A 22,907-nucleotide genomic window follows, 5' to 3' on the forward strand; every position below is an offset into this window, starting at 1 on the left:
CAGGACCTCCTGCCTTCTTCGCCTGCAGGCCCAGGCAGAGTGTTCTAGGTCAAAAGAATGAGGAAGGTTATCCCTAGCCAGGCCTAGTGCTGGGTGAGGAAAGGCTCTTGTTATGGGATGACCAGTTGTTGGGCCTCTTTTTGCCATAGCCTCTGACTCCCCATCTCTGTCCTTCCCCATTTTCCTGTTCCTACCACTCTTCTGTGCCTTTCCTCTTTCTTCTACTTCCTTCTCTTCTCAGCTCTGGCCTCTCTCGGTGGGATGCTCTTCAGGGTAAAAGTGGAATCTCTGGTTAGCTAAGAGGGCAAGCAAAGTCTGTCCAAGATCTCTCCCAGAGCAGCCCTGCTTAACTGGACTCCTTTTCTGACCTGGGCTCTGCTCTATCCCTCAGCCCCAGGAGCCCAGGGGCAGGGCTCTAGATGGGAGATGGGGTAATCTGGTGAAAGAGGGGGGTGGGTCTGTTCTGTAAGTAGCTTCTTTCTGTCTCTAGAAAGCTCATACTCTCCACATCATTGAGCACAGCTCCGAGGAGGGAATCAGTGGCCCAGAGAGAAGAAATCTTCCACAGAAGAGCTGCCCCGGTCTCCCTGCCCCCAGCGTGTGCCCGCTGCCCAATGCAGCAAACCCTCCCCAGTCTGCTTGCTGGGAGCCATTCAAAGGCTCCTCTGTTCTCCTCCCTTGCTCAGGGCTGAGCAGGATCAGCAGCCGCAGAGCTGGGCAGGAAATGCTAATCTCCCAGATGTTCGCCTCCATCCTCCCTGCTCCACCACCATCAAACTCAAATTCTGCACCAAGTGGTAGGAGCAGAACTGGGCCACAGCAGCAGCACCAGGGTGTGCCTACTCTTCTCCCTGCTCCCCAGCCCCTCCTACCCCAGCTGCCAGGCTGGGCTCTGTGCCCCTGAGTCAGGGACAATGTAGATATGAGAATTGGGGCCTTTTTTCCCCAGGAAAGAGGGCAGGTGAGCAAGCAGGGACTGGGAGGATGGTTGGGGAGCAAGGGAGGTGGCATTTGAAGAGGAGAGAAGTCAGACTTCTGGCCCTGTACCAAAGTGGGAGGAGGACCTGCTTGGCAAGTGAAGCACTGGGGGAGGCTCCTGAAACTGATGGTGCCTGAGTTCCAGCTGAGACTGTGGCCAGGGATTGGAACCAGGGTGATGCTGGGTATGGGAATGGTTGGGGTGCTTGCTGTGATATCCGTGTACCTGGGATGGGCTGTGGCTAAGTGAACTAGGATGCTGTAGGGCCTGGAACTGTAACACCAAGGCTGCTGCCTCTGATTGTACTTAGGACACTGTTGCAGTGCTCTGATGCTGGTGTGCCTAGGCTATAGCCAATAAGATTACCTGAGAAACTATCGCCAAGCTGTGTGTATATGGGTGTGTGTGTGCATGTTGAGGGAGAACTGTAACTGATAAGCTGTTGGGCCTGAAGCTATAGATATGAGGCTGGCACACCTGAGACTGGCTGTAGCTGAGAAGCTGTTCCCTGTTAATATGATGTAGATGGGACTGTAACTGGATCCATTGCCTAGGTCCTAGGAGATGAGAGGCTGTTGCGAGGAGCCTGTACCTGGGAGACAGGCTGTTACCTGGGATAGGAGCAGAGCTACTGTTGTGTATAGGACTGTAGCTGAGCTGCTATTGGTCCTGGAGCTGTAGCTGTGATGACAGCATACTGGGGATTGGCTATAGCTAAGATGCTGTTGCTCAGAATTGTGGTTGGGCTGTTACTGTGTGCTGGACTCTAGCTGGGATGCCTGCAGCTATAACTTTAAAGCTTGGGTGTAGCTAGGAGGCCATTTCCTGGTAATTTTGCTGGACCATTGTTGTGTGGGGGCTGTGGCTGAGACTCTATTGTTTAGGAGATGACAAGCTGTTCTGGGAGGCAGGATACTACCTGAGATGGAAGCTGATGTACTGTTGGAGCTGATCTACTGTTGTGCATAGGGTGGTCCCCAAGTGGCTGTTGCTGGGTCAGTGACGAGCTGGGTGGGGGAAGCCAAGTGAGTCCTGCCTTGAGGTCTGGGAGATGCCAGGAGCTCTAGGCTGGGTGGGGGCTGCTGCTCTGGGGAGGCCTCAGCAGCTGCTCTGCTGTGGAGCTGGAAAGCCTGTTTTCATTACTGTTTTAACTCTTTTTTTAACCTTGTTTTTCTCTCGGCTGCACTTTCGCTCACTCATTAATTTTGGTATTTTTCTCACGGTGCCTCAGCCCCTGTCACGGCTGCCATGGCAACAGGAGGCAGTGTGCTCAGTGCCAAAATATCTGATCAAAAAATAACCAAAATAAGCAAACACCAAGACGACTGTTCTGGGGACTATGGTCAGGGAGAGCCGATGGCTCAGATCCAGGAAACCCTAGGCTCCAGGGTACCTGTTTCACTACCCCTCTCCCCCAGGGAAGCTTTGCTGAACGTTCTGATAACCTAGAAGGCCCCTTTCCAAGGAATCCCCCACAGCACAATCTCCCAGGACTCTGAGATTTCCAATAGTTCCTGTCCAAGGGGCAGCTTTGCCTGAGGTGGGAGCATCGGGAGAGGGTGAGGGCTGGGGATCACTTCCCAGGAGCTGGCAGATGAAGCTTCTAAGAAGCTCCCTCCCTGCCCTAGCCACAAGCATCCGCACTCACTCATTCACCCACCCCTCTTCTGGCCCTTCTTGCCTTAGGCTTATCTCCCTTTCTGTGCACCCAACCCCCACTAGGCCACTTTTGTTTTCTCATAGCCCAACGTTCTGATGGGATGAACAGAGGGGAGGAAGCTGACAGTCTCCAGCCCCCTACCAACTCCTCAGTGGAGGTGCCAGAGAGGGGTACCATAAAAGTAGCTGACATTCCGAGGCCTCTGCCCACCTCTAGCTCACCTTCCTAGGGGAGATTCCTGAACATCCCTGACCACTCACACCGCACTCCAATTTTCCCTCCCACTTCTTGGGAGCCTTCTAGTTCCCTGGAGACCTCCTCTCAAGTGGGCATGTCCCCAGGAGGGGTAAAAGGATAGAGCCTCACATAAGTTAGAAATGGGCAGAGCTCTTGGTACTACCTGTCTCTTTTCCTTCTTCATCCACCACTTTCCCCTCTGAGGAGGCTTGTCTAGATGTCTGGAGCACTGGGAATTGGGGGAATGAGGAGGAGCCCCTCAACTCTGTCTCAGTCACATCACTTAATCACACCTCTCCTTCTGCCCCACCCCTCTGGCAGTGAAGGCTCACTCCCAACAGATCTCCACCCGCTTCCGGGAATGGCCAGAACTCGCCTCCTGCGTCTCTCTTTCCATTTCTATCTTCCCCTCCCCCCAAGAGCTGTAGTGGCCTTGGCCTCCTGGCAGTGCCTTCCCAGCCTGTTTCCATAGAAACTGGGTAGGCTGTGCAGTGCAAGAATCGGAGGGGAGACAGGAGCAGGAAGGAGGGACCAAGCCTTAGGGACAGCCCCCGATGAAAGGACCGAGAGAAACGGGGAGCTGCCCCATGCAAACTGAGGGTGGGACCCCGATTTGGGGAACCAGGCGGGATGGAGCGTGGAGTGGGGGGAAGAGGTAGCAAAAGCTTGGTAGCTGGCTTTGCTGCCTCCTGAGGAAGGGGCACAGAATCTCCCCTTCCCTGCCACAGGTAGTGGGGGTTCCTCCCTCCCCACCCCCTTAAAATCCTTCTTTACCAGGAACTGCCTGATCCAGATGAATCTCTTCTCCGGGGCCCACTAGTCTCTAAGAAAGGGACCATGGAATTCCTTTCTTCCCCGAAGAGCTCCCCACTCTCCCTGACCAGAGTCTCCTTGATCTGGAGGCTGGGCAGCCCCCGGGGACCCGGTGGCCGCCGCTGACCCCGTGGCATGCGGCTCTCAAAGGCCCCATTCATCTCTGGGGGCTGAAGGCGCCATTGTCCCCAGCGGGGGGTGGTGTGGGGAGTGAAGGGGTCTGGACTCAGAAGGAAGGAATGCGTCTGGAGAAGTTGCCCCCGGGGCTCCAGTCTCAAGGTCCCCACCAGATCTCCATCGGGACCCTTTCACGACCCCGAGCCCTTTCCCCAGGAGCTCCCAGCAACCTTCGCGCTTCTCCGGAGGGTGGGGTCTGCCGCGGCGCGGGGGCAGCCTCACCCCACCTCACTGCTGGACTCCGGAGAACCATTTCTGGGACCGGGAGCTGTCCAGCGCCTCGGGTCCTGACGGACCGCTGATTCGCCTAGGTGCCATCGGACAAGCGGGTGCTCAGAGCCAGCTCTGGTGGCTCGGGAGCTTTCCCCCAACCAGGCTAAGACCACTAAACCACGCCTGGCCCGGATGAGCTTGGATGCAGCTCCGAACGTGGGGATCCATCGGTGCTGAGAACTGACCTAGGGAGCACCTTGACCCCTGCCCTATCTGGGCACAATTGAAGGGCCAAGTGCCACCAGCCCACTTTCCTGGAACCCTGTCTCAGACTTGGGCAGGAAGAAGAGCCATGAGAGGTCAGGCCTTGCCTCTCCCCGCGTTCCCCATCTTTCTCTGTGCCTCTGTTTCTGTTTTCCTCCGGCTCTCCTCCCTCCTCCTCTCTTTCCTTCCCTGCTGGGTTGGGGGCTGCTGAATTATCATTTCTCAGCTCTGCTAATGTGCTCCCCGCTGCGGGAAGGGATCATAATTCTGGGAGATGATTAAGTTTCAAATTGTTTTTCTTTGTGTTGTTGAAGATGAGGCTTTAATATGGTCCTTCCTCAGCCCGGGAGCCTGCCCCCATTCCTCCACTCCTAGTACTCTCCTCACTAATAGGCTAGGTTTGGTACCATGTCTTTTGTGGTCCTTGCCAAACTTTTATGTGTATGGGGTGGTAAACGAGAGGGGTATAGACCTACCCTTTACTCAAAGGGGAATTTTTTTGTTTTTGTTTTTTTTTGTTTTTTTTGAGACCGAGCCTCACTCTGTCGCCCAGATTGGAGTGCAGTGGCGCCATCTCAGCTCACTGCAACCTCTGCCTCCCGGGTTCAAGTGATTCTCCTGCCTTAGCCTCCCGAGTAGCTGGGATTAGAGCTGCGCGCCTCCACGCCTGGCTATTTTTTTATATTTCACTAGAGACAGGTTTCACCATGTTGGCCAGGCTGGTCTCGAACTCCTGACCTCAAATAGTCTGCTCGCTTCAGCATCCCAAAGTGCTGGGATTACAGGCATGAGCCACTGTGCCTGGCTAGGAATACATTTAATATAGTGGTGAGAAACACTGGTTTGGAAGTCGGACAAGTCAACATTTAAATCCTGACTCTGCCACTTACTACTCAGGTGACCTTGGATGAGTTACTTGAACTGTCTGAGCCTCCGTTTCTTCATCTACTAAATGGGGATACTGTGAATTACCTCATGGAGTGTTGGTGAGGATTTAAAGTGATAAATCATGTAAAGTGGTTAGCCGGGTGTACAGCTTATGGTAAAACTCAGTGAATGTTAGTAGATATTACTACCCACATACCTTACCCTGTTTGATCCTGCTTCCCATAGCCTTCCTGACTTTGTTCTTCTGTTCAATGTTTATCTAATGCCTACTGTTTTCCAGGTACTGTACAATAGAGAGTAAGTTATCCAGGAGTGAGGAAGTTGGCTTTCTTACCTATTTGTTCCTCAAACACCCCTTCCTTTACCTCCTTCCTTCCTTCCTTTCAACTGAAGTTTACTCTCATTTTACCCTCCCACCGGCTTCCAGTTCTTCCTGCATTGTTCCTACTCCATTTTTCCTTCTTTCACTGATGTCTTATCACTTCACTTTGATTCTTATCCTCCTAATACACATACATTTTTTCACCTTCTACATTATTCTTCATCCCATTTGGGGCCATCATAGTGAAAAAAAGGGCTGAATTTTCAAACTAGGAAAGAGAATTCTGTCATGCTGTGTGTATGTGTATATGTGTGTGTGTGTGTCTGAGGAACACACACATTAATTCACATTCAACAGTAACTCTATAGCTGACTTCTGAACTCCTACGTTTGAACTGTGTGCTTGTTTGCCTCTCTATCCCCTCTATTTAAGCTCTTAAAATACAAGTCTATTTCTTTGCCTGCCTACCTGTCTGCTCTGTCCTTGCCTCTCTCTCTTTTGGAATTTGTTGTTTTAAACATCTTTATTGAGATACAACTGATATACAAAGAACTACATGTATTTAATATGTATGATTTGATGAATTTGGATGTCTTTGTTATATTCTAAATGGGAATGCTTACTGGTTGTTAGTATGAGAAGCTGATTTATGATAATGTGTTTTTGTGTTTGCTTAACTGGCCTCCTACCTATCACCATACTGGTGATGGGTTCAGGATACACTACACCAAAATGTGGCAACTTGACATTTGAGAAAACAGCAGAAGCAGGAAGGTCCCTCTCCCTTCTTCCTGGAAGTGGGCCAAAAACCTCTGACCGTCTTCCTCCTTTTCTCCTGAGGTAGAACATAAAACCCTAATTCCAGAGGTATCCTCCCCATACCCAGAGGAAAGGAGCATCCTTGTCCTCAAGTTACACAGAGTTACTAAGTAGAATTTGAACAAAGAGACCTTGCTAAGTTTTCTCCAGTTCACTACCACTAGACTATACCTCCTTTGTCCAGTCATACTTCTGCTTGCCTGTCCACTCTTAATAAGAATCCCAGTCTGGCCAGGCCTGGTGGCTCACTCCTGTAATCCCAGCACTTTGGGAGGCCGAGGTGGGCGGATCACAAGGTCAGGAGTTCAAGACCAGCCTGACCCACATGGTGAAACCCCATCTCTACTAAAAATACAAAAATTAGCAGGGCGTGGTGTTGCACACCCTGAAATCCCAGCTACTCAGGAGGCTGAGGCAGGAGAATCGCTTGAAGCTGGGAGGCGGAGGTTGCAGTGAGCCAAGATCATGCCACTGCACTCCAGCCTGGGCAACAGAGCGAGACTCTGTCTCAGAAAAAAAAAAAAAAAAAAAAAAAAAAGAAAAAGAAAAGAAATCCCAGTCCATCCATTAGGGGCTTTCCTCATTTTTTTCCTTTTTTTTTTTTTTTTTTGAGACAGAATCTTGCTCTGTCGCCCAGGCTGGAGTACAGTGGCACGATCTTGGCTCACCGCAACCTCCACCTCCTGGATTCAAGCGATTCTCCTGCCTCAACATCCCAAGTAGCTGGGATTACAGGCGCGCATCCCCACACCTAGCTAATTTTTTGTATTTTTTTTTGGTAGAGGCAGGGTTTCACCATGTTGACCAGGCTGGTCTTGAACTCCTGACCTCAGGTGATCCACCTGCCTTGGCCTCCCAAAATGCTGGGATTACAGGTGTGTGAGCCACCACACCTGGCCCAGCTTTCCTCATTTTAATCTTCATTGTTTGGTTACTGCTGGGAAAGTTCCATCCCAGTAGCACCAGTTTGGTGTCACAGATTAGTGGGTATGTGACTGGAAGTGTCTTACATTTCTACATTTCATGGGAAATTGGAGAAACCATTTTCATAAACAGCATCCTTTACCACCTGTGGCTCTGAAGGCCTTTGTTTTCTTTAGGCTATCTTTGGGGGTGGTTCTGGATCTTGGGAGGACTGAATCTTTTTGTACCCTCTTTTGAGGATATCTCTTTCATCCATGGTTAAGTCATAAAATATTTATTGGTTTTGGGCCAGGCACGGTGGCTCATGCCTGTAATCTCAGCACTTTGCGGGGCCAAGACAGGTGGATTGCTTGCGGTCAGGAGATCGAGACCATCCTGGCCAACATGGTGAAACCTCATCTCCACTAAAAATACAAAAATTAGCCAGGCATGGAAGCGTGCATCTGTAGTACCAGCTACTTGGGAGGCTGCAGCACGAGAATCGCTTGAACCCAGGAGGCAGAGGTTGCCGTGAGCCGAGATGGTGCCACTGCACTCCAGCCTGGGCAACAGAGCAAGACTCTGTCTCAGAAAAAAAAAAAAAAAAAAAAAAAGAAAGACTTATTGGTTTTGGTTCTGAGTCAATTGATTGCTGTCTTTGATTGAAATAAGAAAAAGGATATTTGAAAGTTTTTAATTTGTTTATTTTTTAATTTTAATTTTTTTTTTTTTTTTTGAGATGGAGTGTTGCTCTGTCACCCAGGCTGGAGTAGCTGGGACTACAGGCGCCTGCCACCATGCCCGGCTAATTTTTTGTATTTTTAGTAGAGACGGGGTTTCACCATGTTAGCCAGGATGGTCTCCATCTCCTGACCTCGTGATCCGCCTGCCTCAGCCTCCCAAAGTGCTGGGATTACAGGCATGATTTAATTTGTTTTTTAAAGAGCTTGGCCGGGCGCAGTGGCTCACACCTGTAATCCCAACACTTTGAGAGGCTGAGGCGGGCGGATCACGAGGTAAGGAGATCGAGACCATCCTGGCTAACACCCTAAAACCCCATCTCTACTAAAAATACAAAAAATTAGCCAGGCATGGTGGCGGGTGCCTCTAGTCCCAGCTACTTGGGAGGCTGAGGCAGGAGAATGGCATGAACCCGGGAGGTGGAGCTTGCAGTGAGCCCAGATCACGCCACTGCACTTCAGCCTGGGCGATAGAGTGAGATTCCGTCTCAAAATAAAAATAAATAAATAAATAAATAAATAGCTCTATGGTGGAAAGTTGGTTTAATTGAAAGTTGGTAGGCTGGGTGTGGTGGCTCACACCTGTAATCCCAGTACTTTGGGAGGCTAATGTGGGCGCGTAACGAGGTCAGGAGATCGAGGCCATCCTGGCTAACACTGTGAAACCCCGTGTCTACTAAAAATACAAAAAAAAAAAAAAAAAAAAAATTAACCGGGCACGGTGGTGGCAGGCCCCTGTAGTCCCAGCTACTCAGGAGGCTGAGGCGGGAGAATGGTGTGAACCCGGGAGGCGGAGCTTGCAGTGAGCCGAGATCGCACCACTGCACTCCAGCCTGGGCGACAGAGCAAGACTCCGTCTCACCAAAAAAAAAAAAAAAAAAAAGAAAGTTGATATTCGGAATATATATATATATATATATATTTTTTTTTTTTTTGAGACAAGTTCTCGATCTGTCACCCAGGTTGCAGTGCAGTGGTGTGATCTTGGCTCACTGCAACCTCCACTTCCCAGGTTCAAGCGATTCTCATACCTCAGCCTCCTGAGTAGGTAGGACTACAGGGGTGCACCACCACGCCTGGCTAATTTTTGTATTTTTAATAGAGACGGGGTTTCACCATGTTGGCCAGGCTGGTCTTGAACTCCTGACCTCAAGTGATTTGCTCGCTTTGGCCTCTCAAAATGCTGGGATTACAGGTGTGAGCCACCATGCCTGGCCCAGAATATATATATATATATTTGTTGTTGTTGTTGTTGTTGTTGTTGTTGTTTGAGACGGAGTCTTGCTCTGTCACGCAGGCTGGAGTGCAGTGGCACAATCTTGGCTCACTGCAAGTTCCACCTCCCGGGTTCACGCCAGTGTCCTGCCTCAGCCTCCCGAGTAGCTGGGACTACAAGTGCCTGCCACCACGCACAACTAATTTTTTTTTTGTATTTTTAGTAGAGATGGGGTTTCACGGTGTTAGCCAGGATAGTCTCGATCTGCTGACCTCGTGATCTTCCCACCTCGGCCTCCCAAAGTGTAGGCATTACAGGCGTGAGCCACTGTGCCTGGCCCAGAATATATGTATTTTAAGGCATTTCTGTTCTGTCTATTGAACCCTGCTTTTCTCATGGGAACTTCTCGGTTGACTGACCCTTTGCCCCCTTCCCAAACTCCTTCTGACTATATTTTCTGTCAACTCTCTCCATCTCCCTCTTTCTTCAGCTTCATTGCCTCTTTGGGAAGCGAAGATCCCCCCAGACTAGTTCCTCTAAGACCTCTTCTTTCCATTTACTTCTGCTTTTCCTTCCTCCTTTTGCTTTGGTCTTCTTTCAGTTCCCTTGAATTCTTGATATGCCACCTTTCTCCCTTCCCTCTCCAGAACCTCAATTACTGGAACTTTAGGTCTCCGGCTCTCAAGATACTCAGAGACTCCTGAAAGTAACCACTTGAGGCTAAAAGAGAGAAAGAAAAATACTATTTGGAAACAAAAAATGGATGTTTGTCTACTTAGATGGGCTTTGGAGGCCGACAGCCACTAGATGTCTCCTCAGTCACTCACCTAAAATTAGTCCATAGCCTCCATAAGATTAACCTCTGATAATAGACAAATATGCCTCCAAAACTTGCATTCTTTTTCTGTGCCATTGAGTTGTAAATTTTCTACCCTGTCTTCTTTAGAACCTAATAGTTACCTTTGGGAAATACAAACTTCAGGGAGGGAATTGTCATCAGAAAAAAAAAAAAAAAAGAGCTATTTGAAACCAGGTAAGTAAAAAATCTTAAAAGTCTTTCCCACAAATATTGGTAAAAAACTTTAGACAACTGAGAAGGTAATCTTAACTTGTTATACCTGCCAAAAACACAATTTAGATCTAGCCGTTTATTTTATAAATTAGTGTGTTTTGAATTATTGTACCTGGCACATGGCTAACATGTTAAAAGCTGTAAGATCGGCTGGGCACAGTGGCTCACACCTGTAATCTCAGCACTTTGGGAGGCCGAGGTGGGCGGATCACGAGGTCAAGAGATCGAGACCATCCTGGCCAACATGGTGAAACCCTGTCTCTACTAAAAATACAAAAATTAGCTGGGTGTGGTGGCATGCGCCTGTAGTCCCAGCTACTCGGGAGGCTGAGGCAGGAGAATCGCTTGAACCAGGGAGGTAGAGGTTGCAGTGAGCCGAGATTGTGCCACTGCACTCCAGCCTTGTGACAGAGCGAGACTTCGTCTCAAAAAAAAAAAAAAACCTGTAAGATCTTTGCCATCTGTCCATATGTTTACATATGTATATGTATTTGTATGTTATGCATAGCTGGTATTTTTCCTACCTCTGGATAGTATTATCACATTTATTTATAAAATTCCTTAAAGGAATTCTACTCAAATTGGTCTGGAAATAAATGAGTGCTTGTATAAAGTATTCCTAAAACTCTCAGAAATGTAGAGTCTAAGCCAGGTGTAGTGGCATGATCCTGCAGTCTCAACTACTTCAGAAGCTGAGGCAGGAGAATCTCTTGGAGAATTCCTTGAGTCCAGTAGTTCAAGACCAGCCTGGGCAACATAGTGGCCTCATCTCTCTCTCTGTCTCTGAAAAAAAAGAAAGAAACAGAAACTAACCCCAAGCTTTTTTGAGTTTAGATGACTTGGGTAAATTTTCTTCCTTCCTTCCTTCCTTCCTTCCTTCCTTCCTTCCTTCCTTCCTTCCTTCCTCTCTCTCTTTCTCTTTCTTTCTTTCTTTCTTTTTTCCTTTCTTTCTTTTTTTTTTTTTTTGACAGAGTTTCACTCTTGCTGCCTAGGCTGGAGTGCAATGGCACTATCTCAGCTCACTGCAACCTCTGCCTCCCGGGTTCAAGCGACTCTCCTGCCTCAGCCTCCCAAGTAGCTGGAATTATAGGTGCCTGCTACCAAGCCCAGCTAATTTTTTGTATTTGTAGTAGAGACATGGTTTCACTATGTTGGCCAGGCTGGTCTTGAACTCTTGACCTCGCGATCTGCCCGCTTCAGCCTCCCAAAGTGCTGGGATTACAGGCGTGAGCCACCACGCCTCGCCAACTTGGGTAAATTTTCAAGAAATAAGATTAGTTTTTAAATTGTTCGTAAAAGAAAATCAGAAACGTCTTCAGAATTGTTAGCATTAAATATAATGCAGGCATACATTTTTTTCCACTTGGGTTTACTAGTCAAACAAGCTTATATTATCTCCACTTATATATTTAACTTTTAGTTTCTTTGCTTCTGTGGTATTTTTGATACTTGCCTAATTTGTCAACAAGAAAAATAACTTAAGATGGTGGCTAGCTTTGTTTAATGTCTCATGAAATTTTCATGAGTAATTTAATTCAAGCATAATTGTTAAGAACAAGTGAATTAAATGAGATATAAGTGGGATAAAAGCTTATAAATAATCTTTTCCAACAACAATTACGTTTTATAAAACATTTCCAGTTAAAAATAATTCCAAAATTTTTTTGGCAACTTCAAGCTTAAAGTTATACTAAATTAAAATGAGTAACAAACATTTATCAAATGGGTCATTTCTATGTAAGATATAATGCTGAAACATTAATCACTGAACATGAGTTTATCTACTTTTGCTTCTTATTTCAGAAGAACGAAATATATTTGGGTCTCAGTAAAAATGTTCTGTGCCACATTGAAAAATTGTATTATGGAGATGCATGTATTTCTAGAAATTATGAAATGGTGTTAATCTACAGAATGTTGGTATGTGACAGTTCACAATTGCTTACTTCTTAGTTTTCACTAGAAATTAAGGATACTAAAATTTAAAATTCAAATTAATATATGGAATTAAAACTATTAGAAATTATAAGTGTAACAACTCTGTATGCAAATAATGCAAGGAAAATAAGATACATTGTTGGTAAGGAAAATTATAAGGCATGAGGATGTGTTTTTCTGTTAGGGGAAAAACGAGTAATTAATTCTGCCATAAAGTAGAATGACTGATCTTCCCAGAATGAGAAAGAGAAAAATGTAGGGAAAGAAATGTTGATGGATATATATATATATTTTTTGTTTGTTTTTGAGATGGAGTCTCACTCCGTCATCCAGGCTGTAGTGCAGTGGCATGATCTCAGCTCACTGCAACCTCCGCCTCCCGGGTACAAGCGATTCTTCTGCCTCAGCCTCCCAAGTAGCTGGGACTACAGGTGTGTGCCACCACACCCGGCTCATTTTGTATTTTTTTAGTAGAGATGGGGTTTCACCATGTTGGCCAGGTTGGTCTCAAACGCCTGACCTTGTGATCTACCCGCCTCAGCCTCCCAAAGTGCTGGGATTACAGGCATGAGCCACCACGGCCGGCTTGATGGATATTTTTAAATGGTTGTAATGGGTTTGAGGAAGGAAATCTTAGGAAAGGAGTCTTATCTGGTATGATCAAAGCTATCTGAGACGGGATAGATTTATTCAGAAGACATTTTTAAAATTAGCCTTAGCATTAATAGTACACTGATGCAAAACTAGAATTTGGTCTCCTCTGTCAAAGACAAAGTTTTGGCTGGGTGCAGTGGCTCACGCCTGTAATCCCAGCACTTTGGGAGGCCGAGGCGGGCGGATTACCTGAGGTCAGGAGTTCGAGATCAGCCTGCAACACAGTGAAACCCCATCTCTACTAAAAACACAAAAATTAGCCGGGTGTGGTGACACATGCCTGTAATCCCAGCTACTCGGGAGGCTGAGGCAGGAGAATCGCTTGAACCTGGGAAGCGGAGGATGCGGCGAACTGAGATCACGCCGTTGCACTCCAGCCTGGGCAGCAAGAATAAATCTCCATTAAAAAAAAAAAAAAAGAAAAGAAAAACAAAGTTTTTTTGATGGGGGGTATATTGGTTTGCTTTTGATAAGAGATTATGAAAAGTTTTTTCATTACCTTTTAAGTAATTGGCATAGAAAACAAAGGTTTTGTGAGCTATCAAAATAATTTTTGGTGCTTCACATGGTCTCCACTAGGTCTTTGATTACTTAAGAAAATGGAGTTCTCTCTATTAAAAGAACTAAAGGTTTGTTTTTAAAACTATGTAACCTTCTGTACTTGCCTTTAAAATATTTTGTTGCCACTTTGATTAAATAGATAACAAATAACCTGATTTAATCAAGAGTTTTACACCTTTTGATATTGTTGACAAACTTCCCCAAATCAAATTCTAAATTAAATCTTTTTGACCTCAATCTAAATTTGGGAGCTTTTAGAGGGCCTCTGGAATATCTCAAAATAATTTATTTTCTCTCCTTATAGAAAGAGAGATATTAAACTAATTTGGCTTATTTGTGTTTTTTTGTTTGTTTGTTTTTGTTTTTTTGAGATGGAGTCTCACTCTGTCGCCCAGGCCGGAGTGCAGTGGCGCGATCTGGGCTCACTGCAAGCTCCACTTCCCGGGTTCACGCCATTCTCCTGCCTCAGCCTCCCGAGTAGCTGGGACTACAGGCGCCCGCCACCTCGCCCAGCTAATTTTTTGTATTTTTAGTAGAGATGGGGTTTCACCTTGTTTGCCAGGATGGTCTCGATCTCCTGACCTCATGATCCGCCCACCTCGGCCTCCCAAAGTGTTGGGATTACAGGCGTGAGCCATAATTTGGCTTATTTGACATGTTAAATTTACACGGGAAACATTGTCAACTAAGAAATGATGTTTAACGTTCTTTGAATTATATCTGTATGGGTATATTATTAATGTGTGTTCCAAAAACTGTATAAAATTCTTAAAAATCTGATATGTTCTCATATAATGTTTTCGGTCATAATTTTAGTTATGTTAAAATGTTTTATCCCACAGGAATAATCAAATTTCTTCATCAGGCCAGGCGTGGTGGCTCATGCCTGTAATCCCAGCACTTTGGGAGGCCGTGGCGGGTGGATCACGAGGTCAGGAGATCGAGACCATCCTGGCTAACACGGTGAAACCCTGTCTCTACTAAAAATACAAAAAATTAGCCACTTGCGGTGGCGGGCTCCTGTAGTCCCAGCTACTCAGGAGGCTGAGGCAGGAAAATGGTGTGAACCCGGAAGGCAGAGCTTGCAGTGAGCGGAGATCGCACCACTGCACTCCAGCCTGGGCGACAGAGCAAGACTCTGTCTCAAAAAAAAAAAAATTTTCTTCATCAATTTTGTTATTATTACAATGAACTCTCATATTTTTAACCATGGCCAGTTTTTTTTGTTGTTGTTGTTATTCACAGACAGTTGTTTTACTATTATTCTTGTCCGAAAGTATTTGCAATCAACTATTGTCCAAAATTGCTTCTTCTTCAAGGACATTCATGAAAAAGATTTTGACAAGTACCCTGGAATAGAATGCAGGTTCAGGTTTCTGATAACTTAAAAATCATACCACTGCACTGGGTAAGAATTTTCAAAACTCTAATGAAGAAACTGATAAATTCATGAAACTGCTAAGCAAGATCAAACAGAACAAGATTTGATTACATGGGACTGAATAAACTAATGAGGATGATTTTGGGGGATGACTTTTTGGCTGAAACATTGCTGGTTCTTTAATGTTTTGTTTTCCATATTTAAGAAAACTTTTTTTTTTTTCACTTTTAAGCTATCTATAGCTTACAGCCACTTGGTAAAGTATACTTTTATAAGTATACTTTATTCAATTTCAATAAGAATTGAAGTCATCACTTTTTCTCCTTACCTGATTCCTCCAGAATTCAGAAACTATTAGTGAGTATCCTTATTTTTATGGCAATATAGTTATCTGCATACGTTCAAAAAGAATCTGTTCCCCTTGTAGCAGAACACATTGGAATTATTGGCTATATTACCAAGGCTTTGACTGGAATGCCTATTTTCAGATATAACCAGAATACTTTAAAGAACTAAGGCTGACTTTATTGATCTAGTAAAGCCTCTTAGGAAAAACTGGCTTGGTAGTCTGCATACATGGTTCCCTTACATGGTTCCCCTATGTGGTTGCCTTACAGGTAAGTAAGTAATGCCACTTTTCGACAGGCCCAGGAAACTCAGGGTATTTGGGGACTTCAAGAAGAGAGGAATTCGGCCAGGCGCACACACCTGTAATCCTAGCACTTTGGGAGGCCGAGGGGGGCAGATCACCTGAGGTCAGGAGTTCGAGACCAGCCTGGCAAACATGGTGAAACCCCGTCTCTACTAAAAATACAAAAATTAGCCAGGCATGGTGGCGGGTGCCTGTAATCCCAGCTACTGGGGAGGCTGAGGCAGGAGAATTGCTTGAACCCGGGAGGCAGAGGTTGCAGTGAGCCGTTGCACTTCAGCCTGGGCAACAAGAGCGACACTCCCTCTCAAAAAAAAAAAAGAGAGGAATTCACCCAAATCTATAGGTATTATAGGCAAAGTATGATGAGAAATCCTTGGTTTGGCTTCCTAGACTTGAGTCAGGTTTTAAAAGTCCAATTTGAGATTCCTTATGAAAAATTCCAGCAAAGCAAACTTAAATGAGCCTTTAGGGCAATCACTATTTTGCTGCACTTATGCAAATAATCAGGTTAAGTTTAATGAGATTGGGCCTATTTTGCAAACAAATTCATCTTATTTTGATCATCTTTGGTAGAAACAGAGGTGACTGTAGGTTTAAAAATTACATTTCAGAAGAAAACTAAAGTTTATCTATTATTGAATTCTAGTCCTGTTCATGTTTTTGAGGTTTTGTTTTGTTTTGTTTTGTTGTTGTTGTTGTTTTAATGAAGAAGTATTTTATTATTTTGCTGCAAAGCTGTTGCTTCACTGTATAAAAATAGCACCACCAAAAAATTCAGTGTATTGTAAAATTAAGATAGTGGTGTTCCTCATCTGACACTGTACAAGCAACAAAAACCTCTTCACTTCCAGTTATTTCCAATGGAAAGATCATTAAGTATTTCATCCCAAATCCAGGTATGGATACATGCAAGTTACAATATTATTAAAGCTTAAGAATAACAATGTTATCTTTGAATTTTGTAATGTTTATAACTAGTTTTTACCATGGATAATTTCATGAATTCTGAACACTAGAGCCTAGTCTAAAAATCATAGGATATTGTGAAAAAGACGCATATTCTATTTATCTATAATCATTAGAAAGTTAAAGGGCATTTTCTTTCATTAGCAGTGTTAACAGTAGTTTTTTCTTCCCCATCGGTAATGCTAAAAGTTGCTATTGTAAGTCTATCCACCACTAATTTAAGACAACTCTGCTGGGTTGCGTTATTTCATACTAGTTTATTTAGGAGTTCCATTTTCACTCCTCAATAGATTTTATGTATTTCTCATAAGCTTCTTCACTCATAAGTTCATCTAGTTCTGAAGGGTTACTCAGTGTCATCTTGATCTGCCAACCATCTTCATAACAAGATTTGTTTACAAGTCCTGGATTTTCTGCAAGAGCTTCATTAATTTCAGTTACTTCTCCTGATAAAGGAGAACAGAGTTCACTAGCAGCTTTCACACTTTCCAAAGCACCAAACTCATCTTGTTTGTTCAATTTTGTCCCAACTTCAGGCAGACTATAGTAAACAACATCTCCCAAAGCTTCCTGTGCCAAATTGCTGATTCCCACTGTTCCAATGCCATTTTCTGTTGTTACGCATTCATGTTTCTCTGTGAATTTACGCACCCAGAGCAGAGCGGGTCCAGTGCGCAGCGTACGGACGGCGTCCACACCCAGCTGCCAGGGCCTTGGCGGGCAGGGCGCGGCGGGTGACGGGACGGCGTGCAGGGTGCAGAGCAGGGCCCGCACGCTCCGCACCACTCACAGCGCCATGTTCGCTGCTGTTGTTGTTTTTTGAGACGGAGTCTTGCTCTGTCGCCCAGGCTGGAGTGCAGTGGCACGATCTCAGCTCACTGCAAGCTCCACCTCCTGGGTTTACGCCATTCTTCTGCCTCAGCCTCCCGAGTAGCTGGGACTACAGGTGCCCGCCACCATGCCTGGCTAATTTTTTGTATTTTTTAGTAGAGACGGGGTTTCACCGTGTTAGCCAGGATGGTCTTGATCTCCTGACCTCGTGATCCAGCCGCCTCGGCCTCCCAAAGTGCTGGGATTACAGGCGTGAGCTACCTCACCCGGCCCTGAGGTTTTGTTATCTACCTATAATCTGGACTGGATCTTAAATTCTTCTAGTTTCCTCCAATATCTGGTTATCACTCTCCAAACAATTTCCAATTTTTCTCCCACCTTATGACTGAGAATCACTAAAAATTAAAACTGCCCTTTTTCCAAAGCCCTGCAAGCTAAAGCTGGACAACTTCATATAGACTTTAGAGAAATCACAACAGCCATATATGAACAATTTTTGTACGTGTTGCTCTATGTGCTACTCAGAAAGTTCCCCAGAACACCTCATGCAAACTGCAAACCAGGAAAATCTATCAGCTTGTCACTACTTGTCCTCATTCTACCATCTCAAGATGCTTTGAGCTCGAATCTAGAAATTTTTTTGACTGGCTGTCTTCCGGACTCAAAAACTGAGTTTATGGATTGCTCTAATTGTTAATGTTTGTTTTTCTATTGTTTGTCTGGAAATGCCTCTTATTAAATGCCTGATTGATTACACTACATAGAGGCCTAACTTTGGTAGAAGCCTGACTGCAATACCCCCTAACAACTGGAATAAGATACAACTGTTAACTATTTAACTGGACTGAGTTATTCCTGGAACTGAGAGATGGTTCAATGGGTTATGCAATAATCTTCCAACTCAGTTTTTGGGCTGTGAGGCCTCTTGGGAAAGTTTCAGACAGGAGAATGATGGGGTTCAGGATACCGTACTCCAAAATATGGCAACTTGGCATTTGAAAAAACAGCAGAGGAGAACCACTCTCACCTTTCCCTCTCCCTTCTTCCCGGAAGCAGGCCATAAAACCTGGGAAGGTTGGCCGGGCGCAGTGGCTCATGCCTGTAATCCCAGCGCTTTGGGAGGCTGAAGCTGGTGGATCACCTGAGGTCGGGAGTTCAAGACCAGCTTGGCCAACATGGTGAAACCCCGTCTCTACTAAAAATACAAAAAAAAAAAAAGTAGCCGGGCATGGTGGTGGGCACCCGTAATCCCAGCTACTTGGGAGGCTGAGGCAGGAGAATCACTTGAACCCAGGAGGCAGAGGTTGCAGTGAGCCGAGATCACGCCACTGCACTCCAGCCTGGGCGACAGAGTGCAACTCCATCTCAAAAAAAAGAAAAGAAAAAAACCTGGGAAGGTTACTCTCTGACCTTCTCCCTCCTTTCTTTCCTGAAGTAGGTCATGAAATCCTCATTCCAGAGATACCCTCCCTATACTGAAGAAAAGGGACTTCCTTGTTCTTGAAGGCAGAAGAATCTGAACAGGACTTGCTAAGTCCCCTACCACCAGTTTATTACCATTAGATCACACCCCTTTTGTCCTATCATACTTCTGCATGAGTGACCACTTCTACTCTTCCTCAAACCTAAGCCTAAATAAATACACAAGTTTTCCTGTTTTGGGGGGGTCTTCATTTCCTTATGAAGGCTCCTGTGTCATGTAAACCTTATATTAAATACATTTGCATACTTTTCTCTTCTTAATCTGTTTTTTATTATTGGAATCTTGGCCATGAACCTAGAAGTGGATGAGAAAATAAATCTTTTCTCTCCAACACAACACTGACTTTTTTTTTCTTTGTTTCTCCAAGGAGTCAGTCATTTCACAACTATTTGAGGGCCTAGTTCAGTGCAGGAAAACAGAAACTACTCTAGGTATTTTGAACTGAGGAGAACTTAGTGTAGAGAATTAGTGTTTACACAATCATTGAAAGGAGTTGTGGAATGGACTTCCCAAAACTGCAACAGGAGAGCGAATATGTTTGCCATGATTAGTAAGATGGGGAATCAAAAGGCCACCACTGTAACTGTTGAGTTAAAGAACACATTGTCAGAGATCTGCCATCCAGGAACTAGAAAGCAGAGATCAGGAAGCTGAATGGCTGTTGCAGGAGAACCCCATGTCTCCAGGATCCTGCTTGCCAACAGAAAGCCCAAAATAGCAGAAAGAAGTCATCTTCCTCCTTTCTGTCTTACAGTCATACAAGTGTGCCTAATTGTAAGGGAGTCATAGAAATGTATTCTAGCTTCCCGGTCCCTGTAACACATTAGAAGAAAATAAGAATAGAGGATGCATGCCAAATGACCATATTCAATACAAACCTGCCCTTTAGGAGTCCACAGATTAGAGAGATAACACCACAATAAATGCAGGTTGAAAGGATGAGCCAGGAAGTATCTGTTTCAGACCGAGTTTAAGTGGCACGAGTCAGGGACCATTTTTTTTTTTTCTTTTTGAGGTGGAGTTTTGCTCTCGTTGCTCAGGCTGGAGTGCAATGGCGTGATTTCGGCTCACTGCAACCTCTGCCTCCCAGGTTCAAGTGATTCTCCTGCCTCTGCCTCCCGAGTAGCTGGGATTACAGGCACGCGCCACCACACCAGCCAATTTTGTATTTTTAGTAGAGACGGGGTTTCTCCATGTTGGTCAGCCTGGTCTCGAACTTCCAACCTCAGGTGATCTGCCAGCCTCGGCCTCCCAAAGTACTGGGATTACAGGCATGAGCCACCGTATCCACCCCATAGTAGTCTTAAAATGATTCCAGACTTAATTTGAAGCCATGGAGGTCAGACTCAGAATCATTAAAGGGACAAAGCTGAAGTCAGTGCCACAGGGAAGAGAGGGGAACAGAAGACACCATGACCTGATGTCAAAAGCTTGGAGCTCTCACTTCCTGCAAGTGGCTGTACACAAGGCCGCGAGTGCAGCCCCAAGTAAATAGGGCCCACCTTCAGTGGCAGCTTCTCTCTCACACTGGCTGGTTATGGTTTATGTGGCCCTTTGTGGCTTACTTGTCACCTGCCTCGAGACCATCATCATTCAGAAATGAGCCCGCAGGATCACCACTGGGAGAAGAGAAATACAGAGGGAAAAGATTCAAAGTGGTCCCATCTTCCAAGCAGGAGGGCCAGGGACTCAGGAGTATTTTGCTGTAGAAGGCCAAGGATCAGGTGCCTCCCAGCTGCCTGTATTTGCTTCCTTCTGCAATTCCAGATGTTTTGGCACCTCTCTTCTGTGACTCCAGGAATCAGGAGCCAGATCCTGGTGGTTCTAAGACAAGGGAATAGTGGCAGCTTCTAAGATTGCAAATAAATCCCAAGTCCATTAAAGGGCACTACTTTGTATCTGTTGAGTGAGTATGAGGTGGTCTGGTATCTCCTCGGGGCTTAAATAGAAGGCAGCCTATCCTGCTGGTTCAAAGCTTGGCCTCAGAGTCCTGTCCTGGCTCAGTTGCTTCCCAGTTGTGTGATGTTGGGCAAATTACTTATTCTCAAAATGGAAATAGTGGTACATTTTTCTCTCAAGATGGTTGTGAGGATTAATTAATTATGTGTAACTATATATAAAGTACTTAGCCCAGTGCCTGGCATATAGTAAGCTTTCTATAAATGGTAGCTGATAGTATTTTTGTTATTATTATCAATACCATATGTTCTCGGCAACAAACATCTCCCATCTTAATTACCAGAAAACATCTGGAATAGAAGGTTCCTCACACAAAGCTTGGTCTAGAACTATGAACTCTTAGTCACATTCTGGATAAGTGCAGAGCCAGACCAGGCCAGGATGCCCCTCAGGCCTGTTTCCTCCAGCTGAGAAGTTTCTGTCTGCTTCAATCCTAGTGCTGTCCCTGTGTAGTTCTACTGGGCATCTTGTTTTTTTTTTTTTGAGATGGAATCTCATTGTATTGCCCAGGCTGGAGTGCAGTGGCATGATGTTGGCTCACTGGAACCTCCACCTCCTGGGTTCAAGCGATTCTTGTGCCTCAGCCTCCCAAGTAGCTGGGACAACAGGTGCATGCCACCATGCCTGGCTAATTTTTGTATTTTTAGTAGAGGCGGTTTTGCCATGTTGACCAGGCTGGTCTCGAACTCCTGATCTCAAATGATCCACCTGCCTCAGCCTTCCAAAGTCCTGGGATTACAGGCTTGAGCCACTGCACCCGGCCTCTGCTGGGCATCTTAACATGCCCCAGGAGAGTTACATGGTGTCACCCTGGCAGGTGAGAAAGGAACATACTGGTGATAGTCAGAGGCCCAAGATCAGAAGGATTTGGAATTATCTGTTCTGACATTTTCTGTCTGTTTTCCTTCTTCTCTAATGTCCTTTCCCCAAAGCATTCAACTTCATTTTTTTTAAATTAATTAATTTTTTTTTTTTGAGATGGAGTTTCGCTCTTGTTGCCCAGGCTGGAGTGCAATGGTGTGATCTCGGCTCACCGCAACCTAGGCCTCCCAGGTTCAAGCGATTCTCCTGCCTCAGCCTCCCTAGTAGCTGGGATTACAGGCATGTGCCACCATGCCCGGCTAATTTTGTATTTTTAGTAGAGACAGGGTTTCTCCATGTTTGTCAGGCTGGTCTTGAACTCCTGACCTCAGGTGATCCACCCGCCTCAGCCTCCCAAAGTACTGGGATTACAGGCGTGAGCCACTACGCCCAGCCATTTAAGTTTTATTGAACATCAATTCTGTGCCAGGCATTGTGCTAGCACTTGGTGTATAGTGAAGAACAGAGAGAAAGGCAACTCCTAACCAACTGGAGTTCTCTTTCTAATGGGGCCACAAACCATATAAATGTGATCACATAAATAATCATTTAATTACAGGTTTAATCAGTGCAAGGAAGGAAAATGACAGAGAGTAATGAGCATGGATAATGGGGGAACTTACCATCCCTCAACAGTAAGGGGTCGGGGCTGAACAGGGGAGGTTGGGTCAGACCTGAAGAATGAGTAAGAGTCAGCTAGTCAAGGAGAAAGAAGTTTCTGGGTAGAGGTGGGCTTCTGCCAAAATGTTGGATGAAAACTTTATGGTGTGTTGCCTTGACTGGAGGTCTTAATTCTTAGCTGAGTACTCCCAAAATGATAAATATTTAATGGTGGAATCTTTGAGAGGCTTGTGACCAGCAGATAGGATCAGGAGGCTTTCTCATTAGCCTTCAAACCAAGCCATATGGCTAGGAGGCCTGGCTCTGGGTATGTAGTGTGTGTGTGTGAGCATGAGTGTGTAGGAGTGTGACTGCATGTTTGTGACTGTGAATGTCAATGCGGGTGTATATGGATAGATGCAGAGCTATAACAGATAATTTTGGCATCTGGGTCAAGCAACAGAAATATATCTTGAAAGTCAGGCATACATCAGTTCAGGAGGGAGTTGGAAGGGAGCAGAGAAGAAAGACTGCTCTCCCACATGCACACAGGAGCCTCCTACAAGTGGGTTCCCTGTTCATGCCTTAGACATTCCAGGTCAGCCATCTCTGCCAAGAGTCAGGGGCAAGCTAGCCAGCACTTCTAGAGAAGGACTGGTGCTGAAGATTGGGGGAGGAGAAGCCTTTAAAATGTGCACAATCTTTGAGAAAATAATTC

General features: G+C 45.5%; 1 pseudogene across 1 annotated transcript, besides 1 other annotated feature; it reads right to left on the reverse strand.

The window, feature by feature from the left end:
- Positions 3,002-3,884: an enhancer, noted in NCBI's record as "H3K27ac-H3K4me1 hESC enhancer chr5:141262003-141262885 (GRCh37/hg19 assembly coordinates)". NCBI's record gives its function as "activates a minimal SCP1, AML or CMV promoter by ChIP-STARR-seq in naive H9 embryonic stem cells {active_cell/tissue: H9 hESC(naive)}" and the evidence as "EXISTENCE:reporter gene assay evidence [ECO:0000049][PMID:30033119]".
- LOC729080 (glycine cleavage system protein H (aminomethyl carrier) pseudogene) lies at positions 16,190-17,259 on the reverse strand (annotated as a pseudogene). The gene has a single exon (NR_033244.1). The product of NR_033244.1 is annotated as a glycine cleavage system protein H (aminomethyl carrier) pseudogene (transcript).
- Positions 17,260-22,907: the final 5,648 nt, after the last annotated feature.

This window comes from Homo sapiens, chromosome 5 (genome assembly GCF_000001405.40).
Source record: "Homo sapiens chromosome 5, GRCh38.p14 Primary Assembly".
Classification (NCBI taxonomy): Eukaryota; Metazoa; Chordata; class Mammalia; order Primates; family Hominidae; genus Homo; species Homo sapiens.